The sequence below is a fragment of the Homo sapiens genome, chromosome 12, assembly GCF_000001405.40.
Source record: "Homo sapiens chromosome 12, GRCh38.p14 Primary Assembly".
NCBI lineage: Eukaryota > Metazoa > Chordata > Mammalia > Primates > Hominidae > Homo > Homo sapiens.
In genome coordinates, this window is record NC_000012.12 from 18,604,512 (window position 1) to 18,616,747 (window position 12,236).

Consider the following 12,236-nt stretch of genomic DNA (forward strand, 5'->3'; position numbering starts at 1 on the left):
AATGAATTTAAACTATACCTTGGAGCAAATGGACTTAACAGATATATCTAGAACATTTCATCCAGCAACCACAGAATACACATTCCACTCAACAGTGCCTGGAACTTTCTCCAAGATAGACCATATGACAGGCCATAAAATGAGCCTCAATAAAGTTAAGAAAATTGAAATTATATCAAACACTCTCTCAGACTACAATGGATTAAAACTGAAAATCAACTCCAAAAGGAACCTTCAAAACCACACAAATACATGGAAATTAAATAACCTGCTCCTGAATGAGTGTTGGGTCAAAAATGAAACCAAGATGGAAATTAAAAAAATTCTTTGAACTGAATGACAGTAATGACACAACCTATCAAAACCTCTGGGATACAGCTAAGGCTGTGCTAAGAGGAAAGTTCCCAGCCTGCCTACATCAAAAAGTCTGAAAGAGCACACACACAATCTAAGGTCACACCTCAAGGAACTAGAGAAACAAGAACAAGCCAAACCCACACTCAGCAGAAGACAGGAAATAACCAAGATCAGAGCAGAACTAAATGAAATTGAAACAAAAAAATTACAAAAGATGAATGAAACAAAAAGCTGGTTCTTTGGAAATACAAATAAAATTGATAGACCATTAGCAAGATTAACCAAGAAAAGAAAGAAAATCCAAATAACTTCATGGAGAAATGAAACGGGAGATATTACAACAGATACCACTGAAACACAAAAGATCATTCAAGGGTACTATGAACACCTTTACACACATAATCTAGAAAACCTAGAAGACATGGATGAATTCCTGGAAAAATACAACCCTTGTAGCTTAAATCAGGAATAATTAGATACCCTGAACAGACCAATAATAAGCAGTGAGATTAAAATGGTAGTTAATAAATTACTGACCAAAAATCCAGGATCAGATGGATTCACAGCAGAATTCTATCAGACGTTCAAAGAAGAATTGGTACCAATCCTTTTGACACTATTCCACAAGATAGAGAAAGAAGGACCTCTCCCTAATTCATTATATGAAGCCAGCATTATGCTAATACCAAAACTAGGACAGGACACAACCAAAAAAGATAACTACAGACCTATATCCTTGATGAACACAGTCATCCTTAAAATTAAAAATATTTTAACAGCTCTTGGGGTGACTATAAATGGTTAATCTAAGCATAGTTGAATCCCTCAGACTAACTTGAAGCAGAAGACCAAAATATCTTAGCGTCTTCTTGAACATATTAAGCTATTCACAAATGTCCCTCTTGAGTTCATTTAACCTGTTTTTCTTATGTTGTAGCCGCCTTTCTTGACTCTCTACAGCATGGTGCTTATAAACCAGGCGCTTATAAACACAGGCTTTGGAGATCACTTAAACCTGCACCGTTTATTGTCTCTATGACCTTGGACCAAGTGCCTGAGTTTCCTCATGTGTAAAATGGAGATAATACAAATTTCATAGATTTGCTATGATGATTGAATGCGTTACTGTACATAAAGCTCTTAGCCTGGCATACAGTCAAAGCTACAGAAATAATAAGCCTCTCTACTCCTACTGCTACATTGACTACTGAGTGTCAATTCCTAGTGGTGTGAGTTTTCACTGGGTTCTGAACTCCGGCATGTTTTGATGGACACTTTAGTTACTAATCTTGAGCAAGAGGTGGAGGGAGAACTATCATCTTCAGTCAGTTCAAGTGGCAATTGTACTTTTACTATTTAGGCAGTCAATCACAAATTTATGCTAATTTTCTACCTTTGAATTAAAACTTCTCTGATTAAATACATTGGCTGTCTACTTAACAATTCTTCCACTCTTTAATTCAAATATAATGTTCGTTGTGCCTCAAAACGTCATCAGCATTTTTAGCACCTTTATACCAAACATCTTTTTATTATGAAATGCAATTTACTTCAGTCTTACTAAGAACTATCTCATAGTATCTCTGTGTTAGTCTATATAGTCTCTCCCAGTTAGTGTAATCAAGATATTATAAGTGATTTTTTCTTATATTACCATTGCAATTGTAAAAAACATCCTTTTCAATGTCACAAATCCATATTATTAACAATAAAATTAATATCACCTCATACAATGTATAAATTATTCAAATAAACATGTAGAAGGCTTTGAAAAGTTATATATTTGAAAATTATACTGATCAGGTGTAACTACACTGCTCAGGTATAATTTTCAAATCTTAGAGAAGATTAGAAAGTTAAGATTGACTTTCTGATGACCATTGACAAATTCTTTGTTATTAATAAATTGATCTCTAAATTACCCCAGATAACATACAACCAAAGATTATAAGGGAAATATTAGTAAAACTATAAATTATGTTTAATCCTTGGGAAGTAAACAATAAATTTTTAATTAAAAAAACTAAATTTCTCATTTTAACGATGTTGCGATACAAATCAAAAGAAAAATTAAGGTTACTCTTGTTATTAAATAAATGTTTAATGTGCACATTATGGAGTAAGCATTGGCTTTGCCCCTTGGGGATATAGGGGTAAAAAGTAAGCCCTGAGATAGATTGTAATCCCCTAAACAAACTGAGACATATAAAATAATTACAATGTAACATTTCACGATAAGGGCTGTGCTAGGAGAGTTCAGGGAAAGATGACCACACAAACTATTTTGCGTTTTAATTAAGCTTTGAAGAAAGGTAGAAGTTCAATAGACAAAAATGGTTAACAAAATGATTTTAATTGAAAGGAATAATATGAGAAACTACTAGAAAGAAATAGTAGAGCCTGTTTGTAGAACTAAACATACGAATGAAAGTATAGAATAGCTACAGTAATCAAAACAGCATGGTACTGGTACCAAAACAGAGATATAGATCAATGGAACAGAACAGAGCCCTCAGAAATAATGCCGCTTATCTACAACTATCTGATCTTAGACAAACCTGACAAAAACAAGAAATGGGGAAAGGATTCCCTATTTAATAAATGGTGCTGGGAAAACTGGCTAGCCATATGTAGAAAGCTGAAACTGGATCCCTTCCTTACACCTTATACAAAAATTAATTCAAGATGGATTAAAGACTTAAATGTTAGACCTAAAACCATAAAACCCTAGAAGAAAACCTAGGCAATACCATTCAGGACATAGGCATGGGCGAGGACTTCATGTCTAAAACACCAAAAACAATGGCAACAAAAGCCAAAATTGGCAAATGGGATCTAATTAAACTAAAGAGCTTCTGCACAGAAAAAGAAACTACCATCAGAGTGAACAGGCAACCTACAGAATGGGAGAAAATTTTTGCAATCTACTCATCTGACAAAGGGCTAGTATCCAGAATCTACAATGAACTCAAACAAATTTACAAGAAAAAAACAGACAACCCCATCAACAAGTGGGCGAAGAATATAAATAAGACACTTCTCAAAAGAAGACATTTATGCAGCCAAAAGACACATGAAAAAATGCTCATCATCACTGGCCATCAGAGAAATGCAAATCAAAACCACACTGAGATACCATCTCACACCAGTTAGAATGGCCATCATTAAAAAGTCAGGAAACAACAGGATGTGGAGGATGTGGAGGATGTGGAGAAATAGGAACACTTTTACACTGTTGGTGGGCTATAAACTGGTTCAACCATTGTGGAAGTCAGTGTGGTGATTCCTCAAGGATCTAGAACTAGAAATACCATTAGACCCAGCCATCCCATTACTGGGTATATACCCAAAGGATTATAAATCATGCTGCTATAAAGACACATGCACACGTATGTTTATTGCGGCACTATTCACAATAGCAAAGACTTAGAACCAACCCAAATGTCCAACAATGATAGACTGGATTAAGAAAATGTGGCACATATACACCATGGAATACTATGCAGCCATAAAAAATGATGAGTTCATATCCTTTGTAGGGACATGGATGAAGCTGGAAACCATCATTCTCAGCAAACTATGGCAAGGACAAAAGACCAAACACTGCATGTTCTCACTCATAGGTGGGAATTGAACAATGAGAACACATGGACACAGGAAGGGGAGCATCACACACTGGGGCCTGTTGTGGGGTGGGGGGAGGGGGGAGGAATAGCATTAGGAGATATACCTAATGTTAAATGACAAGTTAATGGGTGCAGCACACCAACATGGCACATGTATATATATGTAACAAACCTGCACGTTGTGCACATGTACCCTAAAACTTAAAGTATAATAATAAAAAAAGTATAGAATAAAAGTGGGAAATAAAACAGTAATAAGAAGTTACAATACAAGGCTGAGAAATTTAGACCTTTTTTCATAAGCAATGGAAATCTCTGAAAGGCATTTTGATCAAAAAATAATCTTATGAAAGTTGTCGTCTGAAACTTACATTGGTAATGGTATACAAATAGATTTGGATTCTGTGCAGGGGGTGGGAGGAGTGAATGAATGTCCTAGTAGTTTAGGCAAAACGTTTATATGAGTTTGAATTAGCTGCTATGGGATGAGAAAAAAGAGATTAGTGCAAATTGACCACTTACTACGTGACAACTTTTGAATTTTATCAGTTAATCATCTCAACCACCTATCTCAAAAAGTAACTATTATTTCCATTTTATATAAAGTTGATTAATTTAGTCATGATGACACAGTCATGAATAGTAGTGCTGGGCCTTGAACCCCAGGTTCACTGATTTCTAAAGGCCACACTTTTAATCTCTATGACCTCTAATACTTTAAGCTCATTATAGTGAATGCTAAGGAGAAAATTGGAGCCAAAAATGGCACTGAGGTTTTAAGCTTAAGTTGTTGAGAAAATAATGGTATCAATCAAAACAAAATATGAAATATTAGGGGAAGAGTTAGTTAAAGATTAGACACAAATCCCATCTCTATGTAACCAACTGCCTCCTGAAGAGCATTAAGATTCTTCAACATTATCTGAAGAATGTTTCTTCTACTTGTTATTTATTGGTCCTGTTTTAGTTTTTAAATGTTTGATTGTTCCTGTGCTGAGCTTTTTCCAACTGAACTCACTGAAATTCTATTCTTTTATCAGGTGAGAAGTTTCCAGACAAGAAGCCTAAGGTGCAGTTAGTCATATCCTACGAGGATGTGAAGCTGACCATACTAGTGAAACACATGAAAAACATTGTAAGTTTATTATGTATAATAAGAAACATGTAAGCCTACATCCAGAAATCACTTACCTCCTTTGGGCAATTAGTGTCAACATTAGCTAGAAGAATGGGTATCTCCGCCAAGTTTAAGTAAGAAACAATGAGCCAATTACAATATTTTTGCCTCGGGATGATTGTGATCCTTGGGGTAAAGACTCTAAAATACTTCACAAGGAAAGTCCTAGAATGAACATTAAACTTTATTCAAAATGTCAGGAAAAAGACTAGGGAAAAGGCTCTGAAAAAGCAGGATTAGCTGGAGGATTGAAGGGTAAAAGAAAAAAGGCTGGGTCCCATATTTCCTTCTCCTCAAAAAATAATAGTGTTTTGAGAATGGAAACCCCATCTTTGTTTCCGTTTCCCCATCCCAGAACCTAGAACAAAATCTGTAGTTAGCCTCCAAAGAAAACTAAAAGTTCCACTCTCTATTACATGCCACTTAAGGTTGGGGCAAGTCAGAGGCAATGATGGTAACTGGGCCATATCATTAAGAAAGAGAGGAAGCATTCTGTGTCACAGGATAAGTGACTAATGACCCGAGTTGGGGTGCAGCAAACATAGAAGGAAAACACGAAACCTCACCAACTATTTTAATCTTCCTTGAGCCTAGACAAAATGGGTTCTCCACGTGGTATAACTTCCCAGGAGACTATATCAGGTGTGGAGAAAGTCAGTAACACAATTTTTGCTCTCTTCTTTGTGCACATAAATCTCTGAGGATGCCTTTGGAAGGATCTAAAAGAGCAAACTCTTCTCCATATGACACACATCCATAACATATTGAAACAATAAATATTTGTTTGGTGAACAAATAATTGGCATAATTTGAAGAGAATATGTTCATTACAAATTCATTATTAGTCAGACATCCAAGAAGGCGTGTTTGCAAACCTCTGGTGCTCACTATCAGCAATTTTTGTAGTATCTGGGCAAATATTTTAACATTTTCTTGCAAATCTTTTTCTAATTAAAACAATTATTTTCCATTGTTTTTCATTAGATAATCAATCTTAAATGAGAATAGCAGTTTTTAAAGAAACCCTTACATTGCAAAATGAAGATTCAGTTAGACATTATTTATGGCTATATGCATGTTGATGGACTTTAAGCAACTATATAAACATATATGATAAAACAATAGAATATTAAGAAATATTAATCAAGTTAACAGAACTTACATATGTACTTCATATATGAAAATTAGTCTTGAACATAGTCCTTTTAGAAATGATATATTTATTCCAGTAATGTTATCATTGCTCAAAACATTTTAGAGCACACCTGATGAAATTGCTTTTAGACTGGGCATGTAAACCACACAGTAAACTTGGTGATATTACTCAATGGTCACTCCTAGTTTTTGATCAGAAGTGATATTAACCAACCTAGTCATCCATTTCATTCACCAGATGAATCACCAAATTACTTTTGACAGTTTTCAAAAATGCATTTTACACTCAGATGAAATTACAGTACCAATGAAGATCTTCAAAGTGAATGTCATGCAAGCATGAAGCAGGGATAGGAGGAGTGAATGGGAAAGAGCAAGAGTTTCAGATTGAGATCAAGTTATAGGTAAATAGAAAATGACCAAATGACCCTAAAAAATGTGAAAAAACACTTAGGGCCATGAGAACCTCTATAATACCAATGCTCTCAAAAAGAGTTACTAATGATGTAGTAATACTTGTTTCAGTCTGCCTTCTCAGTTTACTTGCTAGTTCCTCTCTTCTCCCTAATCTCTTAACATTGAAAGATTTTAGTGCCTTAAAATTCAATCCTAGGCCTCTCCTTTTTCTACCTCAAGCCTCATGGCTTTAAACATTACTTACTTGTTTTTCTTTTCCAAATCTACAATTCCAGCTTGGAAATCTCATCTGAAATCCAGAGTTATATGTACAGCTGACTATCAACAACTCTAGTATAAGTATAATAAGTGTCTCAGACTCAATATGCACCAAAATTCTCGTGACTGCCCCACTAAACCTACATCGTTTGCCACCTTTTTCATCTCAGTAAATAGCACCTTCATTCTCTAGTTACTCAGGTTAAAAACCTAGAGTCATTTTGACTCCTCTCCTTCCCCACAAGCTACATCCATATTACCAGCAAATTCTGTCATTCTGCTTTCAAAATAAATCCAGAACACACCAACTTTCTCCTCCACTGCTTCCACTTTTGGTTGAAGTCACCAGCATCTCTTACTTGAATTACTGCTATAGTTTCTTAACAGTTGTCCCTGCTTCTGTCCTTCTTTATAATCTCTTTTTAATCTAGCAGCCTGAATGTTCCTTTGAGAATAAAAGTCAGATCCTGTCATTCCTCTCTTCATATCCCTTTGCGGAAGGAGTCTTATATCAGTTGCAATGAAAGCCAAGGTACTTGTTAATGACCTGTGAGACCCTGTCAATCTTCACTTCTTGGCCTCTTAACCTCATCTCCAGCCACAGACTCCCTCAGTCACTCCGTGCCAGCCTCAGTGCCTTCTTTGCTGTTCCTTGAATATGGCAGGCATGTTGCTGCCCCAGGACCTTTGTATCTGCTACTCCATTTACCTAGAATGTTCTTCCCAAGCTCATGGATCAATATTCTCTGTGGCTCAATCTCACATGTCCCGAATGCTTGTATTTTACTCTCACCTTTTCAGTAAAGTCCTATCTGACTCCCAAATTTAAAACTACAACACTGCTCCTCTTTGTTGTCACTTTTAACCTTTCTTTTCTACTTTCTTTCCTCCCCTGTGCCACTGCTATAACCCAAGGTGTATAGAATAGGGCCAAGTATATAGTAGGTACTCAGTAAAGCCTTGGTTAAATAAAAGAATGTCGACTTACTTCTCATGTGAACAACTAAGGACTAGGATGTTTTCATCTTCCAAAAATCATCACAGCAAAGTTATGCATTGCATTTTCCACAGCTTCCTTTAAATGATTATTTTGTTTCTTCTGCTTAAAACAACTTTCTACTATAAATGACATAAAAATCCATCTATAAATTCTCAACATATTTTATTTGCTAATTTCAAGTTTTAGCTAATTGTTATTTGTCGATCCTTTAGTATGTTCCCATACCAAAATAATTAGACTAACATTGTGCTGGATTTTACATTAATATTAAAATGAATTATTATGCCTAGAGTTCTGTTATGTTTAATGTTAAGTTTGATGAAAAGTATTGTTTATCTTTTATTAAATCTATGAAGCTTTGCTCTGAGAGTTACTTTCCTCCTGTGAGATCACAAACTAAAATAAAATTGCTAAAATTCTTTCCCTTTCAAAGCATCACAATATGATTCACTCTAGCACACAGAGACTGATGAAGTAGTGCAAGTATTTAAAAGCTTGGCCATGATTTTCTAAAACACCATTTCAGTTTATATGACAAAGAAACATATAAAGAACAGTTAGATTTGAAATATTTTTAAAAACTCTCTCTAGCACTTTTCCATGTATCCGTCCTTAAAATGCTCTCTTTCATTGATGTCTACAATGTCTCTCCATGCATTTTATGCTGACTTCATGGATTTTTTTCTAGTCTGTGTAGTTTCTAGGCTGCTCTCTTCTCCCTGCTCCAGAATGTTCGCATTCCAGAAGGTGCTAAACATAACCAATAGGATGAAACTCTCTTCTGATATTGAATCTACCCACACTTTCTTAGGCTCTTAGAACAAGGAGCAAGAAATGTCAGGAAAGATAGAAGACAACTCAAAGGTGGTACCTTCAATCCTTTCATAAGACAAAAGATGGGAAAAGTAGTTTCTATATGAAAATTAACATGAGAGAGAGAGAAGTAGAGTCAAACACAAGAACCCCCCCACACACTAAAACTGTATTACTTTTAATTTTTTTATTTAAACTCTTCTTTTACATTTTTAATGTGTCTGAGTGTAGCCTGGGGGTCCTTGTTTTTAAAATACATATTTCTGGGTGCCACTCCTAGTAATTTTGATTCTGTAAGTATAGATTGGGCTATCTGCATCTGCACAATACAGGCATCTCTTGGTCCCATGGATTCCTCTACCGTCTCTTTCATTTCTAGACTTCTTTCCTCTCTCCTGCTGCATAATATGAGCATTCCAGAAGCCTCTCTGGTGCAAATGGTTCATGGACCACTTTGAAAAAATAACCCAAGTGGCTAGTACCCTAATGTCCCAAATGGCACTCTACACACAATGTGGTGAGTTCGGTACTTGGCACCAAGTAAATTGTGGTGCCTTTGATGTAGAACAAAGACAACACTTGGACTTGGTGAAGATAACAACTGAGGGTTGTGAAAATAAAGCACAGACAATGGCAATGTTTGACATATAAAAACAACATGTTCTGCATATCTTTTTAAAATTAACTTGGCTGAGTCCTCTGATAGTCTTAATTTTTTGTTGTTTTTTAAAATCTAGATTCTTAAAGGAAATTTGTCTTTGTTTCATCCTAGATGCACTTCAATCTAAATAAATGTCAATTTTTAAAATAAAGGATGATTTCCTAATAACAATCGTCTTATCAAATGTGTTTTTCCTTCATTCCGTGAATGAAAATTGTTCTTCCAGAGTTGGCCCATTTTGACATTGATCTACCATTTCAAAGAATAAGATACAAAGCAAAGGATAGTGAAGAGTACCTGTCCAGATCTGGATATTCTACTGTGTTTCATGACTTTTTTTGCCAAAGAAACATTGACCCTCAAAGATGACCTATTATTTTTTAATGAAATAAACCATTAATTGTTCTAAAACCTGTTATCAGTGACCTCTTTCTAACAGCTAACAAACACCTTTAACTAGCCCTTCCTTTTTGAACATTTTGTTACCAGCTTTTTCATGAAACTTCACTGGACATTGGCACCAAGCTAATTGTGTCTGCACATTCTCTAAACTACTTGGACAGCACTATTTCTGAGGCTTCCTTGGCTCTTGTAAATTTAAGATAGATGTATGTGTAGTGGCTTAATAAATGTTGGCTTTACCCTTAGCTCTTAAATGTGAAGATTTTCCAGTATTCAGGGCTTTAACTTTTGAAACTAATTTCCTAAGAAATTTTATCCAGTCTTGAAACTTCAAAGATAATATGAATTACTATTAAATTTACATCTCTACATTCAATCTTTCTCTGACCTTCATTTACATGTTTCCAACTGCCTGATGGGCATTTACAGTCCAATATCTTGCCATCTCTTTAAACTGAACAGTTATACAATATGGCCCTCTGCTTACCACTGAAACCATCTTTCATTCTGAATTACTTATTTCTATAAATTGTTGCACCATCATCAAGTAATTCCTGATCAAAACTTCTCTATAATTACTTTTCTTTTCTTTTCTTTTATTATTTCAATGCTTTTTAGGGAACAGGTGCTTTTTGGCTGCATGGAAAAGTTCCCTAGTGGTGATTTCTGAGATTTTGGTGCAATTCGTCACCCAAGCAGTGTACACTGTACCCAATGTGTAGTCTTTTATTTCTCACCCACTTCCCACCCTTCCCCCCAAGTCCCTAAATTTCATTATATCATTATTATTCCTTTGTGTCCTCATAGCTTAGCTCTCACCTATACATGAGAATATAAAATGTTTAGTTTCCCATTCCTGAGTTGCTTCACTTAAAATAATGATCTCCAGCTCCATGCAGGTTTCTGCCAATGCCATTATTTCATTTGTTTTTATGGCTGAGTAGTATTCCACGGTGTGTGTGTGTGTGTGTGTGTGTGTGTGTGTGTGTGTGTATGTGTATATATATATATCACGGTAGTATTACTCAATGGTCACACCTAAATGTGGTATATATATATATACCTAAAATATATATATCATTTTTTTTCACTTGTTGGTTGATGGGCATCTAGACTGTTTCCATATTTTTGCAATTGCAAATTGTGCTGCAATAAACATACATGTGCAAGTGTCTTTCATATAATGACTTCTTTTCCTCTGGGTAGGTGCCCAGTAGTGAGATTGCTGGATCAAATGGTAGCTCTACTTTTTTTCTATATTTCAATTCATTCTTTTACTCATATATATAATCAGCAACAAATCCTTTTAGTTTCTTTTAGATTACTTTTATTATTCTCAAAATCCTATTCAACAGTCTCCATTGATTCATCTATGGGTTACTTTGATTGGCTGCTATAATATTCCTTTCCTTGTTTTCTTCTCTAATTCTCTCCTGCACAAAACATTCTAAGACTGCATTTTACTATATCAATAAAAAATTTTAACAGAGTCTCTGTAAACTTGAAATTTCTTAGCTTAATACCTTATAGTACTATACAATCTAGCTATAACCTACCTCTAATATTCACCTCTCAACACAAAATTTGTATTATATCTAGAAGGATCATTCATTGTTCACTAAATACACACCACTCATTCTATCTGACTAGGTCATACATCTATTTACCTTCTATTTACTGTTTATATCCAATGTAATCTTCTAGGCTTAGGTCAAATTGCTCATCCTCCCTGAAGCTCCTGGGTCACTCCTGCTCCTAGTGACCTTTCTTTTCTTTGGAAACTTTACTATATACACCATCTATTTGATATTCACTGACTTAGCTCTTAAAACTTGGATTATCTTAATTTATCCTGCAGTTTCAATTGTATTGAGAATTCGCTGAGTATAAAAAACTGTGGAAAATATATTTTGAATACAGTGGTTAGCAAAATATTATGCCCTTAACACACAGTTATTAAATAAGCAAATGTTTGCTTAAGTGTACATCATGTGAAAAATATCCACAATCCAGAAAAGCTTAAGCTATATTTATAAATCAATAGCTTTTATCTGTGAATTCAGCTACCTTTAATACTTGACACTAAACTAAGGAAGGTCAAATGTCAAATATTTGATCTTAACATCCGTCTCACTTAAAAATAAAGTGAATTCTTGTTGAAGGCTTTTATTTTTAATGTTCAAAAACCCTGAACACTTTCCTTCTCTCCAGATGACATAGCCATCAATGGATATGTCGCCACATGACTAAAATTTCATTTATTCTCTCTCTGTTCTTTTCTGACAGTCTTGTACCGTAATCTCTGCCCTTTCTCTAAATCTCCCTCAGTTTTACATTCTGACCTAAAAAAGTTCTAACCTACAAAAGAAG

At 35.0% G+C, this 12,236-nt stretch overlaps 1 protein-coding gene across 14 annotated transcripts in view; it reads left to right on the top strand.

The window, feature by feature from the left end:
• PIK3C2G (phosphatidylinositol-4-phosphate 3-kinase catalytic subunit type 2 gamma) overlaps nucleotides 1–12,236 on the top strand; it is a 483,857-nt gene that overhangs the window by 361,551 nt on the left and 110,070 nt on the right. For all 14 annotated transcript variants that reach the window (XM_047429007.1, XM_017019471.2, XM_047429008.1 and 11 more), the window contains one exon: nucleotides 5,024–5,118. In XM_047429007.1, the coding sequence (XP_047284963.1) occupies nucleotides 5,024–5,118 (95 nt within the window). The remainder of the gene's footprint in view (nucleotides 1–5,023; nucleotides 5,119–12,236) is intronic.